Source organism: Homo sapiens, chromosome 6 (assembly GCF_000001405.40).
Source record: "Homo sapiens chromosome 6, GRCh38.p14 Primary Assembly".
Lineage (NCBI taxonomy): Eukaryota > Metazoa > Chordata > Mammalia > Primates > Hominidae > Homo > Homo sapiens.
The window spans coordinates 5,624,496-5,649,272 of record NC_000006.12 but is presented as its reverse complement, the minus strand read 5'-3'; the positions used below and the strand labels follow the sequence as shown (position 1 = coordinate 5,649,272).

General features: G+C 43.6%; 1 protein-coding gene across 14 annotated transcripts in view, besides 3 other annotated features; it reads right to left on the bottom strand.

The window, feature by feature from the left end:
* The window catches only part of FARS2 (phenylalanyl-tRNA synthetase 2, mitochondrial), a 521,650-nt gene that overhangs the window by 122,311 nt on the left and 374,562 nt on the right, over positions 1-24,777 (bottom strand). The window lies entirely within an intron of this gene.
* Positions 9,407-10,270: an enhancer, noted in NCBI's record as "NANOG-H3K4me1 hESC enhancer chr6:5639236-5640099 (GRCh37/hg19 assembly coordinates)". NCBI's record gives its function as "activates a minimal SCP1, AML or CMV promoter by ChIP-STARR-seq in naive H9 embryonic stem cells {active_cell/tissue: H9 hESC(naive)}" and the evidence as "EXISTENCE:reporter gene assay evidence [ECO:0000049][PMID:30033119]".
* Positions 9,441-9,661: a silencer, noted in NCBI's record as "fragment chr6:5639845-5640065 (GRCh37/hg19 assembly coordinates)". NCBI's record gives its function as "represses an EF-1alpha promoter that drives an FKBP-Casp9 reporter gene in an ReSE screen in phorbol 12-myristate 13-acetate-treated (for megakaryocytic differentiation) K562 erythroleukemia cells {active_cell/tissue: K562(+PMA)}" and the evidence as "EXISTENCE:reporter gene assay evidence [ECO:0000049][PMID:32094911]".
* Positions 21,854-22,123: an enhancer, noted in NCBI's record as "active region_23910". NCBI's record gives its function as "activates an Ori minimal core promoter by ATAC-STARR-seq in GM12878 lymphoblastoid cells {active_cell/tissue: GM12878}" and the evidence as "EXISTENCE:reporter gene assay evidence [ECO:0000049][PMID:35858748]".

Genomic DNA, 24,777 nt, shown 5'->3' with positions numbered 1-24,777 from the left:
CACAGCACCCAAAGAAATGTTCCTTAAAATATATGTACAGCATGGAAGAGAGATATATGCACAGAACAAACAGATGCTAACTATATACCTTTTCACATCAGCCATAATTCTGCAAGACTCATTAATTCAAGGAGATTTACCAAGCACCATTATAATTTTAAAAATTAACCCTCTAACAAATTGCAGCATGGTGAGCTTTGGTGACTTTGAAAAGACATTTTGTAGTAAGTCTGTCAAAATAGAATAATGAGGAGCTCCTAAATCCCAACCTTAACTATTGACCCACAGACATTATAAATTACAGGACAATGTTGTTTTATACTGTATTCATTCATTCAACAACTATTTACTGAGCGCCTACTAAGTGCCAGGCATTGTCTGGGCCCTGGGGATGGAGCATGCACAATGGAGACAAAATCCTTCTTCCCACAAAAGGTGTTTGCCAGTGAGGGGAGAGGGGCACCAAATGTGCTAATACGTAATATTTTTATATAACTAAAAATTACTATAAAAATAGTAGTGGAATTGAATTACATACTTCAAATAAAGAGAGTTGGGTAACCCAAAAATCTAGCCTTTGGATTTGAATCCTATGAAGGGTAGATGGAAAGAGAGAAAGAAAAGAGGAGAGAATAAAGGGGAAAAAAAGAAAGCATCAGAAGGAAGTGAAGGAGCTCTGAGGCTCATGAAATAGGAACCCAGGAAGGACCCTCACCTAGAGACCCTGGGTCCAAACACCCTGGTTTCCTCCCTTCACCCTACAGGGAATGGATCCCCAGTGCAGGGAGAGGGAGGCCCCCTTTGGGTCCCACTCAGGATGCAGAGAACCCTGACATGCAGCATCCCAGGTAGGGAGAGAAACAAGCTGACCAAGGGGAGTTGATGGGGTCACAGACGACATGGAGATCTGGGGGGACCCTGTATTCTTGCCAGTAAGTGACAGCAGAGACTGAGGGCTCCACGTAAGACGCCAGCCCTGTTTCTGAAGTTTGAAAAGGTGCTGATGTTGGCAAATGGGCAAAGGAGGCCGGCTGGCTGCTAAAGGACATGAGGCTACTGTGTTTAACTTGAGGAATGTACTCCCATTTGGAGTAGGTGACTTCACTGAAGGGAAATTCTCCGGAATTATCTTAGGTCTTGTGGACTATGCACAAACCAAACAAAAGTATATTGATTTACAGTGAGAAACTTAACTGTCATTGAGTCCAGAAGGCAGTGTGCCTGGCACTTCATGTATATTAATTTATTTAATTCTCACAAGAACCTGAATGCAGTAGAAAATATTATTACTTCCATTCTACAGATCAGGAAAGTGAAGGACAGAGAAATGAAAATAATGGTGAGTGAATACCGAGCTGTGATTCAAACCACGGTGATGTGGCTCCAGATTCCATACCCTTAACCATTGGGTTACGTGCTAATTACAGGAGATGAAAAAAGGAGGAGGATTTAGAAAGCGGTTTGGGTCACTGGGTATGTGGTATCATGCACTGATGATTCTGTGCAAGTTAAAGCATGTGTTTGCATTTAACCTGTCTTTGTTAGTCCTTTCCCCATCACCACGTTTTATTTTGAACCTGTTTTGCTCTGTTGATTTCAAGGTGTGGTGCTTGACATATAAAACACAAGCTTCTCTTACCTCTGAATGAAGAAGGCAGTGATTTGGGTGAGTTTGACAGAATAAGTCATCTATCTTCCATTTTGATACAGAAATCCTAAGTGATCAATCAGTTGTCAAAACTTTTTAGATAACTCTAATCAATATTTAGGCAGGAAATGTGCCTTCCAGGCCCAGGCTGGTAAAAGTGAACATGCTCTACCTTTCCTAGCTCGTGTTAGTTTCCATTTTATTTTGAGGACATGGCTGATTATGTTAAATTCTAGTTTTAGTTCCATGTCTTCCTTCTCACCTTCTCAGCCCTAATCTTTGGACCAATGCAGTCAACAAACATATTCTGATTATCTGGTATGTGCCAAACTACACTAAGGGAACAGAGATGAAGAAGACATTGGTTCCCCCAGGAAGAGAGGCGGGAAGGTGGAAGGAAGCAGGAAAAGGCAGATAGGCCTAGAATCAGACTCACTACTTGAGATGGGATGAAGGTGAAGACCCTCCCTGACAAAAGAGTAGTAAGCAATAGCAGACAATTCTACCTTTACCGTTGGTGAGGAACACAACAAAAAACAAAACCAAAAATACATTTGGGCCATTGTTTTCATTCTCCTGCTCCTATGCCTTCAACTAGGAGCTTGTCACAGCTGATAATAAGCAAAGGGGACATGGAGGGGGTTCATCTCACCTTACTAGATATTCTCTGATGAAAATCTTTACAAGGAGCTAGGAAAAGCAAAATATAGTTGGTCCTCCATATCCATGGGTTCCATATCCATGGATTCAACCAACTGTGGATCAAAAATATTTGAAAAAAGAAAAAGATGGTTTGGTCCATACTAAACATGTACAGACTTTTTCTTGACATTATTCCCTAAACAATACAGTATAATAACTATTTACATAGAATTTACATTGTATTAGGTATTATAAATAATCCCGAGATGACTTAAAGTATACAGGAGGATATGTGTAGGTTATATGCAAATACTATGCCATTTTATATCAGGGACTTGAGCATCCCTGGATTTTGGTATCTGCTGGGGGTCCTGAAACCAATCCCCTATGGATACCAAAGTCCAACTGTAGTTATAGCGAACAGATTCATAATCCACACCCTACTAGGCATTCTTTTAAAAACCCCTCCTCTTTTCAAGAGTAGAGGAGCCGTGAAATCCAAGGCCATCACGCATAGACCACAGACCGGCAATGCTGGAGTGGACCATGAGACTGTGTGAGCCCACTGCCCTCACTGCACAGGTAGGAAGCAGGTTCACAGAAGCTGAGTGACCTGTCGAAGGTCACACCACAGCTCGTTCGTCAGAACCACTACAGCCTGCATATAATCTTCTCTAATCTAATTCTCACTGCAATATTATAGCCTGGATATTAGAGCAGCATTAGATATACTCGGAAAACAGTGAGAGGCCATGGGAGTAACAATGTCATTAAAGTCTTAATTAAGGACACACGGTGACCTCAAGCAAATCTCACCATTTTTACCCTGTATCTCCCTGCTGCTCCCTCTCTTATCTCCCTGCTGCTCCCTCTCTGTCATGTCAGTTCTAGCTTCTTATTCTAAGAAAACTCATCCTTATCTCACTCCACCAAACCATACGAGACTTACACAGAAAAATGCCCCTTCAGTCCTAAAAACAGGATGGCTTCCTGGCATCATTCTAGTCCCTACCTCCGTTAAACTAAGTAAAAAACATGTAAAAATGCCTCACTCTTTGAAGGGAGTGTGAGACAACCAATTGCCACATGGCACTAAAAATGGTAACACTGAAAAGGTTCTTTGTTGAAATGCATGGCTTATTTATCCTATAGCCTCTGAAAACATATGAGGCCCGTGCAATTACTTTTAATATTTCACCCATGCCAATCTGTCAAAGCACCACGTCAACTGAATGCAGCCGGCTGTGCCAGACAATACATTTGCCAAGACAAAAGCAGGATTCGACTGGACCCAAGCTCCCCCAGTTCTCAGGGCAGGCCACCTTCTTAAATCTGACAGCCTCCACATGCACCAGCTTCATTTTTGCAGCAGTTCATGCACACAGAGGAAGTTTCAGAGGATGGAGAAGCGGGAAAATGGCTACGTGGCCCTGAACAAAAGGCACATCTGCTCTTCTGCATGCATTTTCGTCATTCCTAAATGAATCTGTGAAACCTGGCCCGACTGTGTGTGGGGACAGAGGAGGAGCTTGGCACTCGTCCCTCATCCCTTAGGGTTTGTTAATCTCTTTACACTGTCTTCCAAGGTAATATTCAAATCAACCACACAGCTCAATTTACTTTGCTTGTGACTCTAATTGAATAAATCTAAAATAACAACAGACGCACTGGCCCAGAGCCTTGGCCAAATTTTTCCTTAGACACTTAAAGCACATTCTGGCTGTTTTAATTCTGCCTGCAAGCAGGTAAATGCACTCTTGTCCAGTGCCTAATTTTACACCAGAGGGAGAATGACTGTCATTCTGTGTACTGTTTCCAAGGTGGCTAATATTTACTGATGGGTAGAAGCTTTGCAGAAGTAACCCAATAAAAACTTAAGCACCCTTGAAGGTGGGGAGAATATTCTCATCCAAGTTGGTTAGCTGGCCTTTCACACAAAGATGTTTAATAAGGTACTATTCTGTGCCTGCATATCACTTCTTCAGAATCATAAGTGCTGAGTCGGCTCTGAGAGTTTGTTCAGTCTCTTTTCTAGGTTATGTTTAGGTGAGTCTTCAATGATCCTGAGTGTGCAGCTATTCCCATTTGTAAACGTATCCAGAGAACAACTGCTCTAATAAGCCTGCCACTCATTCTAGTTTCTCTCAATCCTTTTGGAGAGGGTAAGAATTTTAAAAACTGGATCATTACCTACTAGGGGTAGGAATGCAGGCTGAGCCTTAGGAACATGGCACAATAAGTAAGCAGCCAATGATAGTTTAGAACAGGTAGGTCAAACTTCAGAATGTCCAAGCTTTCCTCTGGGGCACATCACCTAACAAGAATGTTTTCGAGGTGACTCACGCCTGTAATCCAGCACTTTGGGTGGCCAAGGTGGGCTAAAGATGCTGAGTATGTTTTTAAGGTCATGAGAGTAGATCTGCTGGCATTCTTGCAGCTGTCTGAAAACAAGGGTTAAAAGGAAACAACAGGCCAGGCACGGTGGCTGACTCTTGTAATCCCAGCACTTTGGGAGGCCAAGGTGGGCAGATTGCTTGAGCTCAGTTCAAGACCAGTCTGAGCAACATGGTGAAACTCCATTACTACAAAATGCAAAAGAAAAAATAGCCAGGCGTGGTGGTGCGCACCTGTAGTCTCAGCTACTTGGGAGGCTGACATGGGAGGATGACTTGAGCCCAGGGAGCTTGAGCTGCAGTGAGCTGTGACTGCAGCACCCAGCCTGGGTGACAGAGTGAGACCCTGTCTCAAAAAAAGAAAAAAAAAGCAAAAGAAAAAAGAAACAACAAACATGACTGGCACCTCTCCAAGAAGGGAAGGAAACTGCCAAGGATGGCTGCGCTATGGCTAGGTGGTGATGGTGCTGTGGCAGTATCTGCTGTCTTAATGACAAATGAAGACACCCCCAGAAGCGCAGGGCCATCACAACAAGCATGTCTGTTTCTCAGTGGGCAAGAGTGTTCATTACATCTGCATCCAACATTTATCAGAGTTTGGAAACTCTTTCTCGTGGGTACAGTAAATGCCCCAGCAAGCACTGTCAGGCCAAAAGCCTCTTCTAGCTTCTCTACAGAGACCAAATGGCCTTCACCTTCTCAATAAGTCTGCCACACACTTGACCCTAGCCCCTCCTCGAGTTTTTCTTCTAGGTAGAATTATTCCAAGTCTTTCTTTCCCTTTTCCAGGCCCTAGTGTCTCATGAAGCCCAGGTACAATGAATGCTCAGGCTGGTAGACTGTGGATCAAGCAGTTTACCCTTGGAAATTGGCTCCAAACCACTGGGAAGTCTGGTCAGAAGGTGTAGTCTTAGCAACCCAAACCCCCCTCCAGTACAGAGCACCTCTGAAGTCAACCTCATACTTCAGTGAGAGCCAGCCAGTTGCCTTATCTTTGTATATAAGGGTAGCATGTGATAAGTTACCTTAACGTGGCTGCTAATACCACCACTGATGCCCAACACAGTGAGGAAATGTTTACCGAGTGAATGAACGAATGTCGGCATCACTCCCTGGAGCAGACCTCCATGCTTATTCAGTATCTCACAGCCTGCACGTTTTGGCTCCTATCTGAGGTTTTTCTCCTTATATTCGTCGTCTGCCCTTCTGAGCCCACATCTTGTTTCTAATCACAGCTCAGAGTGAAGCACGTGTAAGGTAATTACTCCTCAGTGTGCTGTGGCAGCGCTCATTGATTAGAAATCGTTTTCACAGGGAACACTATAACAAGGAGTTTTGATCAAAGGTGGATTATTATTTCAGTTCTTTGCCTCACCCACGTACATTTGCTCCCTCCTCCTGAAAGAAAATTTGTGCGTGTGAAGACAGATCCTAAGGGAGACAGGAATTTTTTTAGAATGAAGCTATTTATTTCTTTAAGTAATCGTAAGTAAATATTTCTTTAAAATAAATTACTAATCAAGCTTTTTCCTGAAACTCATGCTCTGAACCCATAATGTCGTTCTCTTTAAGCTCATCTCTCTGGGAAGAGGCTGTGTTCACGTCCAGATGTCCTGCATTGCAGGGCCAGACCCAACCACAGCCAGCGTGAACACGCTTCAAGGCTGCAGGGGACTGGGGTATCAGGATCCAGTGGGCTCTTCGAAGACATCAAATGGTCTGTGGAGATTTGATGAATCCAGCGAGTTTACTTACAGGTCCTGTCTTTCTGTGCCTGCCCTAAGAGTGGACTGAACTCAAAATAACGAGCAACTACAGCACACAAGGCATTTCAAGTGTGTCCTTCTTTGAAGTTGTTTACAGCTGTATACATCATTCTCTTATCGAATACTGGAAAGCAGGCATCTAAGGTCTGCAGCAGAAGCTGAGGTGAAAAGCACAGGAGGAAGTTCAATTTTTTTTTTTGACATTTAAAAAATCATCTTCCATTCTTCTTCCTGAGATGCTGGGTTAGATTCCATATGCAAGAGGGAAGACAGGGCATGCTCTGATGTCAAGTCTCAATGACTGCTTTAGATGGAGAAAGAATAACTCAAGACATTCCAAAAGGTTTTAAAATTACAATTTTTTTTTAGTAACATTTTTACCTTGGCATAAGGTATCATTAGTCCTTAATCCAAGCAATCAGAAAGCTTAGACAAGAAACTTAACAAAAAAGTCCTATTGGGGATTTACAGTGCTCAGAAGAGCACTTCCCATGGATTGTCCTGGATCAATGTAGCTCAAGCTTAAGTCTATCACTCTACCTTTATAGTGCCCTAGAGAAATAAACCTATTCCTCCCAAAATGATAAGCTACATGCGTCTAAAATATGTATTGTGTATGCAGATACATATACACATATGCATGTGTTATAATACACACATACAGACATACACACACACATACAGACACACACAAATATACACATACATATATGTATGTATGCACCTATGTAGTATTAGTGTGAGTCCTTGGCTAAGGAGATCTTATTCATTCAGTGAATATTCTAATTGTGCAAGCATTATGGTAAGTACCAAGGATAACATCAACAGATTTCCTACCCTCAAGGAGTTAACAGTCTAGTGAGAGGGACATAAAGTCAGTAAGTGTCAAACAGCAGCTTTCCGATGGACCTACATGTAGGTACGGTGACCACCAAGGATGATGACCGTGGAGAACAGGGGCATCATGAAAGCTTTTCTAAAGAAGTAGCCTTGAGAAGCATCTTAGAGGTGTTTGCCCAGAGGCCTCGGTGTATGAGATCTTTGATACATGGTTATCTTTGATATCCTGCTCTTGGTATGTATGGTAACTTATCAATAACAATTTGGGGTATGCAAACATCTTCTATATTAGCTCAAAGGGCTGACATCAATCCTGAGTTTCATTACCTGCCCTTGGCATCCAGTGAATGCAGCCTAGGTGCTTTCCTTAGAACTGTGGACATGTGAGGCTGGGCACAATGGCTCACGCCTGTAATCCTAGCACTTTGTGAAGGCGAGGTGGGCAGATCCCCTGAGGTCAGGGGTTTGAGACCAGCCTGGCCAACATGGCAAAACCCTGTCTCTACTAAAAATACAAACATTAGCTGGGCGTGGTGGTGGGCACCTGTAATCCCAGCTACATGGGCGGCTGAGGCAGAAGAATCACTTGAACCCAGGGGGTGGAGGTTGCAGTGAGCCAAGATCATGCCACTGCACTCCAGCCTCGGTGAAAGAGTAAGACTATGTCTCAAAAAAATAAAATAAAATAAAATAAAATAAACTGGGGACACGTGAAACGGATAGTGCAGTTTACAGAGTGCAGGTTCACCAGAAATGCCTGGTGAACTGAATCAGTTGGTGCCCTTGCCTCTCAGTGGCCCTGTGATGGCATACCACTGTGAGCAAGAAACACACCCAGGGAAGTGAAGGGTGTTCTGAAAATAAAGACAATGTTGCAGAACAACTGTTTGCTATTCTCACAGTACTCCTCTTCCCCAGAGGATGACAAGCTGGCCTCCTCTCCAGCCTGCACTGGGAGGCTTTGTCAGGAAAGCTTTGCCATTAGCATAGCCATGTCAACCTAAAGGGAGAAACTGAGGCAAAATCAATAAGAGGGGAGTTGATTAGGGCCAAGATAAGAGCTTCTTAGAAGACTCAGACACAAGTAACCTTGGATATGAATTCCATTTGACCCTTGTTACAAGCAGGATTTAAAAGCCAAGAAAAGGGACAAGGAGTGGGGTGTCAGAAAGGTGTTTGTCAGGAATTCTCATTAGTTTACAGAAATAGCATTGATTAGTGATTGGCTATATGCAGTTGAACTATGTGGTATGGGTCAGGTGTCTGGTGTGCAGTATTGTTAGGTTAATTTGTGGCTACTTGTGACAAGTCGGCCTAGAGGCCGCATAGCAGGCGGCTTCGAGAGATGATTAATTAGCTCAAAAGGGCAGTGGGATGTGGCCGCTGCCTCAATCCCATGCCTCTCTGGGCCTGATAATTTAGAGGTAGCTCACGTTCCTCAGACAAAATGTTTCTTTTTCTTCCTCAGTAACTATGTGAGCAAACCAGGCCTCCAGTCTGTTATAGGGACCTAGAAGGAGTAACATTTAGGTGCTCCAACTCGGGGGAAGCTCGGGCTGGGAGTGGCCAACTCGCAGATTTAGCTTCCGTGTTTGCCGTGATATGAAGCCAATTCAGATCTGCTGCATCTCCTTTAATCCTGCCATGACTGCTTAATGGCCGTGAGACCTTAAACCCGTAAGTCAGACGCTCTGAGCCTTGGTCCTCCCACAGTACCAGTACATAATACGGGACCTCATACAGAATGGGCACTCAATGGCATGTGCAAGTACGTGTGTACACGTGTGCATCCAGGCATGTGTGCGCGTTTTCTCAGGTACACACACACACACACACACACACACCTGACAAAAGTTCCCTCAAATGATTAAAGGAAAAAGGGACTTGAAACACACACACTCCCCCAAAAGTTAAACATTATCTTGGGAATACAACTTTTACAAGCTCAGTGCAATAACGGAACAGATATGGCAAAATGGATCCCGATGTTAAAAAAACGTTTTTCCGAAACCCACCAGATGAGCTGAGAATTTACTAAAGAGACCACTGAGGAAAAGCAGGGGACCCACTTGGGGCACTAATGCTCTGAAGTGAGTGGAATAAAGCAGGTCACTCTTCAAAGACCTCTGGGTTCCAGCCAATGCCCAGGATGTGACAGGCAGCAACAGGGACCCCAGCACAGAGGCACTGACCCCATCTTCAGTGGTAAGCAGCCACTGGTCATCAACGAAGTGTTGTAAGTACAATAGGACACTTTTCAAGCGCTTACACTCAAGAGCCTCGCTTGGCACTGTTCTTAGCTGACTCATTTGCAAATAAAGAACAAATGTGGATAGAAGAAGAGAGGAAGGTAGGTCTGATTCCCCAGTTTACAACAGAATATGGCCTTTCCCAGGCACCAGAGTTTCCCATAGGGCATTTATGCAAAGGACCCCATGGAAACACACCCCTCTACTTAAGCAAGAGAAATCTACTTCTCATTCTTGAAAATCCCCAAAGGTATCCTGAAGATATCTGTCATGATTCCCAGATGAGTGCCTATCTTTAGGAGTTCTTTTAAGTACAGGGTGTAAACATGGTAACATTTCATATGCAAATTTCAAATAATCACTGAGAACAATATGGCTTCTGGTTAAGTGGTAACTCCCATGATGGGACTTGAAATGCAAAGGCAGAGAGACTGGGCCCTGGCACTGGGAATATGCTGGCCACCGAAAGGCTGAAGAAACACATGTCAAAATGAAAAATCCAGTACCTTGCTTTGAAATATGTGGATGTACGTTTAAGCACTTCAACTCATTTTAGACTTATAATACTGCTTTTAAGGTAGGGTTATTACATCAGTGGCTCAGAGAGGCTAAGTAACTTGTCCAGATGAGAGAGAAGCTGGGGTCAGAACACAGGTCTCTTTCTACTACATCAATCAATTTCACCGTACATGCATTTTAGAGAAATATCTTTAAGACAGAGACTTCATCTTGTAGTTGACAGGCTATACAAGTTGCTAGTCAGTTATGAGTGCTGCTATGAGCAGCTTTAGAGTGCCTGCCACCTCCAAGGCCCCTGTACAAGTCTGTGCTTGGACCTCATCACCAGGGCTGGGTGCCAGGCATTCAGCTGTGAGTGGCCTGAGCTCTGCCCAGTGGAGGCCCCTATCCTGGTGGTGGCTCTATGGACCAATCAGATTCTCTCGCGCGAGGAAACTGAACATGCCACAGACAGTCGTCAGGAGCAGCAGGGTCCACTGAGGGAGGCCCCGTCAAGTGCCCAGACCCCACAGCGGTTGAGCCACAGCCGGGGGGATGGGAACAGGCTTCCTGGAATGCTAGCAAGGCAGCCTCTCCTGAGAGTCCTCAGTTTTCAGTGAGGCCTGCTCTGAGAAGACTGGGATGGTTTTTGTTTTTTCTTTTTTGTTTTTTGAGACAGAGTCTCGCTCTGTCAGGCAGGCTGGAGTGCAGTGGCACGATCTTGGCTCACTGCAGCCTCTGCCTCCCGGGTTCAAGCGATTCTCCTGCCTCAGCTTCCCAAGTAGCTGGGACTACAGGCACGTGCCACCACATCCGGCTAATTTTTGTATTTTTAGTAGAGATGGGGTTTCACCAAGGTGGCCACATTGGTCTGGAACTCCTGACCTCAGGTGATCCACCCGCCTCGGCCTCCCAAAGTGCTGGGATGACAGGCGTGAGCCACTGCGCCCGGCCCGGGATGGTTTTAAGTCTCCCCTAACAGCTTGTATATTCTCTCTGCAAGCCTCCAGTACCTGTAGTAGCTCTTTTCATTGTAACTTAGCAGAGCCAAGCATATCATTGTTTAAAAGTACTGTATTAGAATATAGGATCAGAGAGTGACTGGACAGCACCATCTTGCAGTATAAGGCACAGCATCCCCAGGCAGAAGTCGCTGTTCCAAAAGGGCTCTCCTGGCTTTCATCACCCACCTTGGACGTCAGATGGACTGAAATTTATGGCTATCCATAAAAATCCCTGGAGGCATCTGTTATGGGTTGAACTGTGTCCTCCCAAAATTCGTATGTTGCAGTCCTAACTGCCAGTATCTCAAATGTGGCTGTATTGAGAGACAGATAGGGTATCTAAAGAGATAAGAGGTCATTAGGGTGGCCTAATCCAATCTGATTTGTGTCCTGATAAGAAGTGGAGGACACAGACACATACGGAGCGGGGATCATGTGAGGATACAGGGAGAAGACACCATCTACCAGCCAACAAGAGAGGCCTCAGGAGAAATTAACTCTGCCCACACCTTGATCTTGGACTTCCAGCCTCCAGGACTGTAAGGAAATAAATTTCTGCTGTTTAAGTCAGTCTGTGGTGTTTATTATGCAGCCCTAGCAAATTCATACATAAGTCTTCAAGTTGGGTTTTTATGAAAAGAAGAGGCTCACAAGTGATTAAATCAATACGCTGGAAGCAACATAGAAATTTGGTAAGAATATGGTCCTGGATTTTGACTGCTGAGGGCGATGCTGTCTCTGTCACTTACAGGCTGTGGCTCCCTGGGCGAGCTGCTTTACCTGTGGCCTCATAAAGGAAAGGCAGCCAGGAACGCTGCACGGGTCATGGGTGTGGTGAAGGCGTAGTGATGCCCAGGCGTGCAAAAGCCTTGGCATGGTGCTAGAGCCTGTGATCCTTGTCCTCAAGAAAGATTTGCTTTTATTTTTACCCAGTTAATCCAGATGCCATCAGATACAACTACCTAGTTGTGATATGTGGAAGATGAAGCTCTTGGTATCTAAGGCCTCCTCACCAGGAATGGTTGGAGAGCCTCGTCTGACTTGGCAATTGGAACGCTCCCTGTCAGCTCTGGGTTCTCTTCTCTGCAAGTCAGGAGCCTCTCACGCCACTGAGGCCGGGAGGGCTGTATGCATCTATTCGGCTCTGGATCCTGGTTTCTTCCTATGCTCTTGCCTAAAGCCCCCTTCAACTGAGAGTGTTTATGGAAAACAAAGAGCTTTGCTTCTTCTCGGAATGTTCTATGGACTTCTTGCCATCTGGTGCCTGCAGTGGCGTTTCTCCCTGTGAGGCCCTGGGGCACGCTGTGCTCACTACCTGAGGTCCCTTTGCCGCACCAGCTGCTTCTGTCAACGTAGTGGCTCAGGGAGAGTAACTCAATGATCGAGGTGGACACTTAGGCTAATGAAGAGGCTCTCAAGGGACAGAAACAGGACACCTCTGTGCTCCCAGGGTGCCTCTGCTGAACTCCTCGGGGCAAGTAGTGGAAAGCTACTCCTGGTGGCTTGACCAGGTGGGGAACTTGTTTCAGAAGCCAGCAGACGAAGGCGAGGCACAGAAATGGGGACTTCAATGTCCTCTGGACTCTCTCATCTCCCTTCTCTGCCTCCCTCTGAAGGGAAACTTGCTTCTGCTCTCTGCAGACTGCCATTCTTTGCCTTGCTGCTGCTCAAGGCAAACAGACAATGTGGAAAGTGACTGTGGAATGAAAGACTACCTCTATCATTGCCAATTGTAAATTCCTTCGTGGGTCAAGCATCTGTCCGGGTCCAATCAGCAGAGACTGCAGGGTAAAAGGATGCCTCACTGCACAAAATGGCTGCCAGGGCCCACAGTTCTGGATTGGGAGGGAGAAGCAGTTGCTAGCAAAGGGGGAATCACCGGGAGCTGGGTGGACACCCCAGACAGCGACCGTACACTGTCAGGCCTTCGCTGCAGAAGCTCAGGTTCTGTAATCAAATTTTCTCAACCCTGCTATCACATAGAGGGAACTTCACAGCGATTTTTCCTTTTAGTCTTCCTTAGAAGAGTTGCTCATTTTGTTAGCAATAACCAGTGTTATAATTTCATTTAGAACTTTAAATTTGGGGATGCTCATTAACATCTCCAAAGAGAAATGCTGATTAAAAAAAAAACAAAACCCTATTACACTTCTTTAAAGCGCCACTCCCACAAGAAACACAACTGCTGTTTGTGAATGAGTATAGCGGTGCTATTCTAAAACAGATGTCTAGTAGCTTATGTGTTTTGGAAATTTTTTTTACCATAACATTTTTTTTGAAATACCAATAGATAATACAAAAGTGTCATATCCTAGAAATATGGCTGACATCTCTTATTTCATGAACACTGACAGTGACTGCTTGGTATTTGCTTCCATCATCAAATCAGCAGCTCACTGAATTCCAAATGCAAATACAAAATGTCACATGCCTTCTGCAGGCTCCCTTTGCCATGTAGACTCCATGGGGTGGGCTTCGGGCCTAAATCAAAACCTGGGGAAACAACGACATGAGGCCTGGCCAGGCTGCACGTCTCATCCAACGCCACCCTGCACACAGAGGGGCTGGGTGCGTGTTCCGATTCTGCCATTTTCTACATGGGGCGTCCTTCTCATTTCCTCTACCTCACTTCCCCACCAGCACATGTGTCACCTGCATCCTATAACACTTACTGTGCATAAAAAAAGAAACAAAAGTATATTGCAACTTTTTTCCTTAAGGTGTTAAAAAAATTTCTTTTTCAGATCTTAAAAACCCACCAAACTTTTATTCCCAGCTTGTGACATCTTCAACCTGCTTTATTATTTTTTCCTCTTTTTTCTATCAAAAACAATTAGACCTTAAGAAAGTAATTTTATTGTTTGGAGTAAATTATCATCAGCAACTAGGTGCCTATTTTGAGCATGGGCTTAACTAGAGTAAACATAAAACACAAAGTTTGCTCATTAGAAACTTGGCTGTTCTTTGTTTGTATTTAATGCTTGTACTTAATTACAATTAGTTTTTCCCAGAGGAAACTCACCATTAGGATGTAACCAGCACCATCAACAATAACACTTACTGGACACTTGTTATGCACCAGGCAGTGCAAAATAACCTTCTAAGGTCGGTTCACTGTTAAACCCAAAGATAAGAAATTGACGCTTAGAGAGGTGAGTAACTTGCTCGAATGGTTCCACGGCCAACAAGTGGCAAAGCCAAGACTTGCACTCAGGGCGGCCTCTAAAGCCAGTGCTGTAGCCACTACTCTACAAAGACTTCATATTCCATTCCTTCCAGGACACATTAAGAAATAAGAGGGAATATGACAAAAACTACATTGTATAGCAACTGCAAGACAACTGAACTCCAGAAATCATGATGAAAGCTCAGGAAATTGATCAATCTGCCCGTGGAATGATTTAGCTGGGTCGAAGGGCACACAGAGGCTTTGCATTCCAGTTACTTCTGGCTACACTGTGGCCTCCAAAAAAGGGACTAGGGGATTGCCACGTGGGCTACTCTGCTCTGAAATGAGAGTAAGGCTATCTTTTGCTAAGAATAGGAGCACAAGCAAAACAAACCACAAATGAATTGCTTCATATACAGCTGGTACCTAAAGTACTATTTTAAAAATTGAGCAAGGCCTGGCATTGTGGCTCATGCCTTTGGGAGGTGAAGGTGGGAGGATAGCTTGAGCCCAGGAGTTCGAGCCCAGCCTGGGCTCTCAAGCCTGGGCAACACAGCAAGACCTCATCTCTACAAAAAAACCAAAAAACAAAAATTAGCTGGGCATGGTGGTATACACCTGTGGTCCCAGCTATTCAGGAGGTTGACACAGGAGGCTTGCTTGAGCCCGGAAGGTCAAGGCTGCAGTGAACTGTGATCATACCACTGCCCTCCAGCCTGGGTGACAGAGCGAGACTCTGTCTCAAAAATAAAAATAAAAAAATTGAGCAAAATAATTGGTTTTGTATCTTTTGTAAAAGATTCACTTATTGTAAATTATCTGTCCTATAAATTGTATCAGGAAAGCTGGTTAACTGTTTAGAAAAATAAAAGTTTGATTCTCTCATCTCACAATATCTTAATAACAATTCCAGATGGAACTAGAAAAAAATGTTTAATAATAAACAACTTAAGAGAAAATGTAAGTAAATATTTATATAATCTTTTGATGGATAAGAACTTCTTGCATGTAAAAGCAATGGACAAAAATTGATGAAAAAAATGTTGGATATGACAAAACAAAAAATATAAAATAAATTTATGCCCCACATATGATGAAGGATAATAAAAGGCAGATAACAACTTGAAAAATTTGTAACAAATATGAGATAAAATGGACTAGTATTTTGGGTATATAATTAGCTAATCATTGATAAGAGATTTTTACTGTTTGTAAAATGCCAACAGAAAAAGTGGGCAAAAAAAGACTTGAACAATTAAGAGAGGAATACAAATGATTAACAAATATAGGAAAATATTTTGTTTCACCAGTCATAACAAATGCTCTGATAAATAGATGCAAATAGCTATAATTTTGCCATGTAAAAAAGGGTTAAAATATTAAAATAGTATATGACAATGGCAGAATTTTCTTAGTATATACGTATGCAAGTTTATCCTATACATTTTTTAAAAAGACTAGAAAAAGGATATAAAACTTATCTCTGGTAAGCCAGGTGCCGGGCGTGGTGGCTCACGCCTGTAATCCCAGCACTTTGGGATGCTGAAGTGGGTGCATCACCTGAGTTCAAGACCAGCCTGGCCCACATGGTGAAACCCCATCTCTACTAAAAATACAAAAATTAGCTGGGTGTGGTGGCGCATGTTTGTAATCCCAGCTACTTGGGAGGCTGAGGCACGATAATCACTTGAACCCAGGAAGCGGAGGTTGCAGTGAGCTGAGATCGCACCACTGCACTCCAGCCTGGGCAACAGAGCGAGACTCTGTCACAAAAAAAAAAAAAAAAAAAAAAAAAAAAAAAGCCAGGGATGGTGGCATGTACCTGTAGTCCTTGTTACTCAGGAGGTTGAGGTAGGAGAATCCCTTGAGTTCAGGAGTTCAAGTTCAGCCTGGGCAACATAGTGAGATCTTGTCTCTAAAACAAAACAAACTCTCTGGATGGTAGGATGATGGGGAATTTAAATTTTACTCCTTATATCTTTCTTTGCTAAAATAAAAACCCATTACTTCTAATAACAAAAATCCAATACTCTCAGTGTGTAAGAAGCAAAGAAAGGAAAGAAAAAATAAGAAAAGATGGAAGGAAGGAAAAAATGAGGGAGGGAAGGAAGGATGGAAGGAAGGAAAGAATTCTTCACTTTCGAGAGGTTAGGAGGCAATGAAAAGTTTAGAGTGATAAGGGTCTAGTGTTGAGAATATATTAAGAACTCTTACAGCTGAACAAAAAAGAGAGAACTCAATTGAAAAGTGGGCAAAGGACTTAAACAGATGTTTCTCCAAAGCAGTACATAAATGGCCAAAAAGCACATTAAAAGATGTTCAACATCATTTAGTCATCAGGGAAATGCAAATTGAAACCACGATGAGACACCACTTCACACTCATTAGGATGGTAAGAAAGGGGAGGAAGGAAGGAAGGAAGGAAGAAGGGAGGGAGGGAGGGAGGAAAGGAAGGAAGGAAGAAGCGGGAAGGGGGAAGGGGGAAGGAGGAAGGGAAAGGAAGAAGGGAAGGAAGGAAGAGTGGGTGGGCTAAATGGGTATGCGGCTTCCTCTGGGTAATGGAAATATTTTGTAACTAGATAGCGGTGGTCGTTACATTAAGTATCACTGAATTGCCCGCTTCAAAATGGCTAACTTTATGTCATGTGAATTTCATCTCATTTAAAAAAAAAGAAAAAAGAACACTCTTCCCATCTCACCACAAAAAGTTTGGAATGGCCCTTCTAGAGTGTCAGCAACTGAATGGAGAACAACTTAAAATAGATTTGTAGCATATCCTTGAATCTGAGACCTCGGATTCAGAGTTGAAACGCCTGTAGAGCACGTCTCGCCTGTGAAGAGATTCTCCTCCTATAATCTGCTATGAATTTTTTGGATCTATTTTTCCACAGAATACACCTACGGGACATTTTAACAGATACAGTTTCTGAATTTTTATTGGGGCATAGGGTGAAAAAGTGATTTTTAAAACTTAATTCAAAAGCCCAACTGATAAACAAATACAAAGTTTGAAATTATGGCTCGTTTTATCTAACTTTAATTTTCATATTTACCGATGAAAAAGAACTAAATCATGATCTAACAAAATTATTAGCCACTCAAGGAAGCATACCAACAGATCATAATAGCTATTTTTCACAGTTGCTTAAAAATGTGTCAGAACAGTTGAGTGTAATTTTAATTAAACAAATTTGCAACTATGAGTATAATAACTGCCCTGACATTTTTACATTATAGCTTGAGAAGGAAAAAAAATTCTCCTTTTATTGCAAGAAGCATGAAACTTAAGTAAAAATATTATTTAAAATAGTCAAGCAGTATAATTACAGTATGTAAAATGCATAAAGCGGGTCACATGGTACAGGGTTCAATTTCCGACCTCCACTTGGTCCAGCCACTGGCTGAGTGAAGCTGCCTGTGGGGCAGAGTGGTATCCAAGATCTCAGACAATTCCAGTCATGGAAGAAGGACTCCACACAGACAGGATGCAGGAGCACACCTGCCTTAGAGGGCCCTGGCTACATTCTCTAAGAGACATTTGTTTCTTGAGAAGCACTTGAAACAGCTCGGCTTTGAAGGTTAGAGGGACCTTGAATTTTGTTTTTCTATTAACTATTAGGATTTTTCAATCTTGAATATCTATATTGATCTCCTTTACTTAAACTATGCTAAGAATAGCTTCCATTCAGACTAGTTGTCTTGAGAATTTGATCTGTTTAATATTGCCAGATTTATTCCTATATCAGACATGATATAAATTTATTTGGGATTCATATTTAAATAGATTCTCCTGCAGTAGGAATCCCAAAACTAAGATGTTCAATGCATAGGTATTCATTGATTCAATCTGGGTTGAAAAAAATTCTAAATATAATCAACTCTTATCTGTTTTCCCAGCAATATGTTCCTCACACCTTCCTTTCCCAGCTTTCTTTCTCTTATTTTGGGGAGGCTGTTTTTAGTTTGTGAGGTGAGTGGAGGTCAAGTCTAATTTCAAATTGTGCATACTTGGTATTGTATTGCACTTTGCTTCCCAAGGAGTGGGTTTCTCCTTTGGAGGAGGCAATTCTAGGTAGCAGGTGAACAGATTCCCCTGCCATACAAAACTGAGGGGAAGTAAATGCAACTTTAAGAAGTTTTCTCCCCCATGTGCCATATTAAGAAATGCTGATCAAAGCATCGCTCAGACTCCATTCATATTTTCAGGTCTTAATTTGCATGCCACATTCTTTCTTAAGTTAGACACACCGGCTTTACTTGATGAAGTGAATTTAATGAGGCTTGTCTTAAGTGGGCCACCCCAGTGCTGGGGAACTCTGATAGCCAATCATCACGTCTGTGTAATTCTCCCTTCTCAGAGAGGGCTGACAGGAGCGCTTTCAGCCATCTTATCCCACCCTTCAAGTGAGCTATACGAGGAAGGAAAATCAGAACGGGTAAATGACAGCAACGTGAAACTTCCCTGCAGTATTATTTCAAATGCCTATTACCAGACACATAAGTATGAAGAGGCAGGTCTGGTTTCCAGAGTCAGGACGTTTTGCTTGCTCCATGAGACACCAACCCTTTGCATAAATCCATTAAATCAAGTATTCTCTAGTTATGAACATTTGTGGAATAAATACAAGTAAAGACACAACGGGTGGGATATTTAAAGAAACATGATCATCCAAAGTATTTTTCTACCATTGAACTGACTACTAGAAGACTACTCATTGTCAAATCCATGTGGTCTGCGCTTGTTTTCTGATGACACTACAGTCTCACTCCTGCAAGAGACTGTACCTTCCAATGGCTTTCATTCCCAGCCTCTGCTCTTTGACTTCCATCTCTTGGGTCTCCCTTCTTAGTTCCTCACTCACTGTCTCCACCATCCTTTAAACCTTGGTGTTCCCTCGGGTCCTTTCCTCACCTTGCTCTTCACCTGTTCTAGACATTCACCAGGCATTTGGGTCATGTCTGGAGCTCCAGTGGTCAAGAGTAGTACACGTTCCAATCCTGGCCTCTCTCTGCTGAGCTCTTAGGGTAACATTCCCCTGTGTCCTGCCTCAAACTCAGGAAGTCCAAAAGTCACTAAATCATCTTCTCCACCAAAGCACTGCTGCCCCTACTTAATCCTCATCTCCATTCCAACCACCAAACTCTTGGCCGCACAGGTCAGGACTCTGAGAGTTATGTGGTTTCTTCATCCCCACGATCTCTCCTTTGAACTGGCCCCGTTTCCCATAGATTTGAGCTCCTGTCTTTTTTTTTATATTGTCAGCTTCTCCCCACAAGGCCCCCGGCACTAACTCAGCCCAGACTCTCATCTCCTGTCACTCAGACTATTTATTAAATTTTTCCTTGACCTGTTTTCCAACCACCAACCTTACCCTTGGCCAACAAAGTTAAGATAGGTAATCATTTAAAAACTGCACATAGTAGGATTATTTAATGACTCTCCACATTTTCTACCAGGAAAGCCCACATTTTTATAAGGGAATACAGGCTTTAGGATCTAGCCCCTCATCTCCTCAGCCTCGTTTTCCCAACTCTCCCATCCTCCCTATTATGCTGCTCACACTACTTCACTCTTACATTTCTGTCTGTATACGTGGGCAACATGTACAAAGACAGACATATACATTCTACCTGAAATTTCTAGGCCCCTTCCATATCAAATTCCTATTTGTTTTTCAAGATTCAGCTGAACCACAATCCGCAAACATTTCTTGAGTATATAAGGCAAAGTAAGGTGCTACCCCTGTTTGAAATCATGGTGACACGTTTCTAATTTAAGACATTTTTTCACAATGAATCACATATACCTATGTGATACCTCCTATCAGACTGTGAGCTTCTTGAGGACAAGCACTCATTTTTTAAAAGTTATTTTTATATCTCAGACCATAAATATCACAGATGGCAAACTGCCTCACCCATGGTAAGTGTTTAACCCATTTATGGGACATCCTGTGATCCCTGGAACAGATGTGTTACAACCTGACATGGTGCTGATTTTCAGCCGTTCTAGCTATAAGGAAAAAAGCCATTTTCAGTTCATACTGAAATGGTCACCTCAGCCTCAACCCTGTGGTGCTCCAGAGTTCTCTCAGAGGGAAGCTGATCACTTCAACCTCTTACCTCTTCCTTCTTGTCCTCTGCCAGTGCCTGAAGTCTGCAATTGCATGTGTTTTAGAACTCATTTGATCTCAGGTGATGGCAGTGCACATCAAACCAGCTTAAACAACAGGAGAGTTACCACCGGCTTAGGGAATCTGAGGAAGGACTGGATAACCAGGCTGTGGGAAGGGCAGCATGCGGCTGGGCGCCAGAACACCAGGGAACCAGGGACTCAGGCACACCAGCACTTTCCCTCCATCTCTCATCTCTGTTCACCACATTCTCCCCTTGATGGGAAACGTGGCCGGGGATGGTTCCTAGGTACTCACAGCTTCAGCCGCTGGAGGAGTAATCCAAGCGCCCTTTGGTTTTCTGTCCAAACATTACAGAGAAGAGGCCTCGCCTGCCCAGCTTTGCTGGGTGCCCATCTTCAGATCTGTCCACGGGGCCAAAGCGTGGAGTCCCACTCTGCCAACGTGGAGGCTCCCTTACTGACCATGCCTTTGCGGGAAGAAGCTGCTTCTAGAAAGGGGTTCTGACAGCCCGGGTCAGAGGTCCACTATTGCTGTCACTCCAAATAGGATGGTCTAGGGACAGAGTGGTTTGGAAATTACACCTTCAAGAGACCTGAAGTTTCTCTGCCTTCCCTGTACAGACAAGCTTTTTTCTTCCTTTCATGTTACCTTCCTTCAGAAATTTTCCCTGTTCCTCATCTGTGGCAAACAAACAAGCAAACTTACACACAAACACATTACAATTTGACTGCTTGAATTTCCATCCAACCCTGTGATCTCCCCCGTTCCTGTCAGAAAGGGTTTCCCAGGTAACCGTGAATAATTTACATACTTCCTACAGTTTTCTGCTCCTGGAAGCTAAAGAGTTTAAAACTGTATTTTGTATAGGATATGACCAACCTCGTTAAAATCCCTTCTCTTTTTGTTTCCTTTTTTCCTTTTCCCTATCTGAATATTTGGCCTGCACCAAATAATTTTTAAATCATCAATTTACTTAGGACCCAACTTCTGTTTCTAAGGAGTATTCTCCACCCTAGTCAGTTTCTCCCTTTCAAGAAATCATCATAATGGATAGTAAAGAGTTCTGGTCACCTAGCTGGAAAACACTGCCAACTGAGGTTAAGTTGTGGCCTATATATCAAGTTAGGTTAGTTACCTCTGGAGAAAAAACAATATAACATACGTTGTTGATGGAATTTCTTTCTCTTTATCATTAATTCATCAAAAATACGTATTGAGTACTTACTCTGTTCTATATCCCAAATATAGTAGAAAGCTAAAGACCCAGTAATTGATAGTAACTCAGTGCAGTGATGAAAAGACGTATAAACACCAGGCAATGTGGCAATTGCTATAACAGAGAAATGGGTTAGAAATGCTTATTCCATCATCACTGCAGAATTTCAAAAATTGTATGCCATGTGCATTGCCGGACAGGCAATCTGCTACGAGAAATTAGCATATTGAATGAATTCTGAGATAAGCAATTACTCTAGTAAAATTCTGTGTAAATGTCTAGACCACAGCTGTCCTGCCTTATATAAATATTTCACCTGCTTAATTTTCACTACTAGTTTCCTCTTTCTTCATCTTACTACTGTTATTTCCTTTAGGGGAAAGTGAAAGCAAAGAAAAGCAGCCACATCTGTCAAACACAGAATCCAAAACCTACTGCAGGGTATGCCTTCATTCCCGAGAAGTATAACACAAATTAGGCTCATCTTATAAAATACAGTCATGCACTGCACAACGGCATTTCAGTCAAAGAAAGACTGCATATGCAATGATGGTCCCATAAGATTATAGTGGAGCTGAAAGCTACCTATCACCCAGTGACATTATCATCAGTGTAAAGTCACAGAGCAACACATTACTCATGCATTTGTGGTGATGCGGTGTGAACAAACCTACTACGCTGCCACTTTTATGAAGTATGTTTAGATATGTTCAGATACTGTACTTAACATTGTGTTACAACTCCCTACAGTATTCAATACAGTAACATGCTGTGCAGGTTTGTGGCCTAGAAGCAATAGGCTACACTGTACCCCATACAGCCTATGTGTGCAGTAGGCTGCACCTTCTAGGTTTGTGTAAGTACACTCCATAATACTTACATAACAAAATCTAATGACGAATTTCTCAGAATGTATCCCCGTCGTTAAGTGATGCATGACTATAGTTATGTTCACAAAAGATTATTAGGTAACTGGAATTTTGTTGATTTTGTCCTCATCTCTGAACTGTGCTCCCATGGAAAAGAAATTAGTCAAAACTGAGATCTAACCAGGTCTGAGGTGAAATATCCAAACCTTTATTTGCATGGGTTTACCTGGAGGGAAAGCCTAAGGAGGATGTGGGAGAGGGGCTTTGCAAGGCTGGTAGAAAGGCGGGGCTCAAAGCTGAGTTGCTTAAGTCCCAGGTGACAAGTTGACAGTGGGGAAACGTACAGCTCTGAAATACCACTGGACACCATGATGGCCCCAAAGCCTCAACGGTGGTGTCCCCTGGGGGCCCAATGGGAGTCACTGTCATGTCCAGTGGAAGTTAGCTTGCTGTGGACACCCCCTGGGACCTACAGAAATACTTCTGGGGGGCTCTGCGGGATACTGGGATCCATGACAGCAGGTAGGTGGCGATGCACTTGGGATATCTGAGTATGAACATTATTACGTACCCTCATCTGGACCTGCAGGCTGGGGATGTCTGAGTCTGAGAACTCATTTCCTACGTGTCTGATGAGTGCCTTTTCCTTGAGGTAGTTCCCACTAGAAAACAGGGATTCCCTCATTCGTACCAGGCCTCCTTCAGGCATTATCTTCTTCCTGTAAATGTCATGGAACATTCTACCTTGCTTTTTCCTTACTAGACACCCAATTAAATTCCAATCATGATAACACCTTCCCTGGCTCTAAACCATACATGAATATGTAGATCACTATGAAGCTGTACACTATTAAACAAAACAGAAACAAAGCAAAAAACCAGCTGAAGCCTCTGTAAAGACCTGCTGGATGCCTGGATGTTCTAACTTAACCATCCCCACCACCTGCGCATCTGAGATTCAGCCTTGTGATTCCAAGCCCAGTCCCACCTCTCCGGAGAGACCATCTGGAGCCTGGCCAGCGGCTCACCATCAGGGCAGGCGGGCAGCCTTGCTGATGATTCTGCTGTAACAGCAGAGTCCCGCATCCCAGGCTGTGGCCTCCACATTCCTCTGTAACTGGGCCTTACCTAGGACTCCACTCTGCCAATGACTGGATCGCTGTCCCCCTAAGCCTTATTTCTCTGTGACCACTCATCTGCCCCACCACACATATCCACAGTGTCCACTGGCCACTTGTCTCTCTACCAAACATCCCTCCTAAGACAGACACCCAGGATCTTGGGTGCCATTAGGACCCCTGGCAGACATCTGTGCACATCATCAGTCCCTCCCCCCGGGGCTGACCTCATCCCTGTCTATGCTGGCCCCTTGCCTTCTTTGGTTCACCCTCCTGGCTGCTACTCAAGCCTCAGTTATGAGCAAATTAAAGAAAAGAATTAGCACAAGAGACATGGGAGCTGCCTCAGCCTGCACCCCTGTGTCAGTCGCGGCCCTGCTTGTGTGATCCTGGAGCCCAGCTTGTTTCTTGCTCTGGAGAAGACCAGCAACGTGAGGCCCAAGACTGCCAGACCTGTCTGTGCTGCTCAGAAATGTGAACTGGTGAAGCGTGACTCCAGTAGGTGTTACCTGCATATCCTTGAGACTTTCTCACAAATCACAGGCCTGTCTTTAGAGACCTAACTCCAAGATCTACAGTCAAGATAATGGTCCCTCTGAAGGGGCCAGGATGTATCCAAATTCATAAATCTCTTCGTTTTCAAGACAATATCATTAACTGTGGGAGCTATGGTACATTCAAGGCTGAGCCATGTGTGGGATGGGAAGAACTCAGGAGACACAGGTGGATGGACAGTGAGTTAGGCGGGGATGAGGGGCAGACTCCCATGCTGGCTCTGGACATCGAATTTGGGTGGTAGCCAGAAAGAAGTGATCTTGTGAACGGAGGGCACAAGTTTAAAAACCTCGAACAATTCAGAGTGTCACTCATAACTGCCCAAAATGAGGGGGCGGGGGCGGGGCCGCCCCACCCTACCCCATTTCTGCCAGCAATTCTGTGACTTATATCATGTCACAGGTTGCTCTTGGTGTGTGTTTAACTTGCTTGAATCTAATCATGAGGGGGTGGGGCAGGGAACATCAAAGGATGTGAGTTACTCTCATCCCTCATCTTGGAAAGAGAGCATTCCATCGCCACACTACAAAAAGGTGCCCAGGATGCCAAGGGAAGACAATAGCCAAAGACTCGCTGAAAACCGCTAAGTGAAAGTTAAAAAGGATTTCATGAAGGTGTGCATTGCAACAGCAGAACATTGAAGATACAGCTCCTTCAGCGCCCGGCTTCTCTC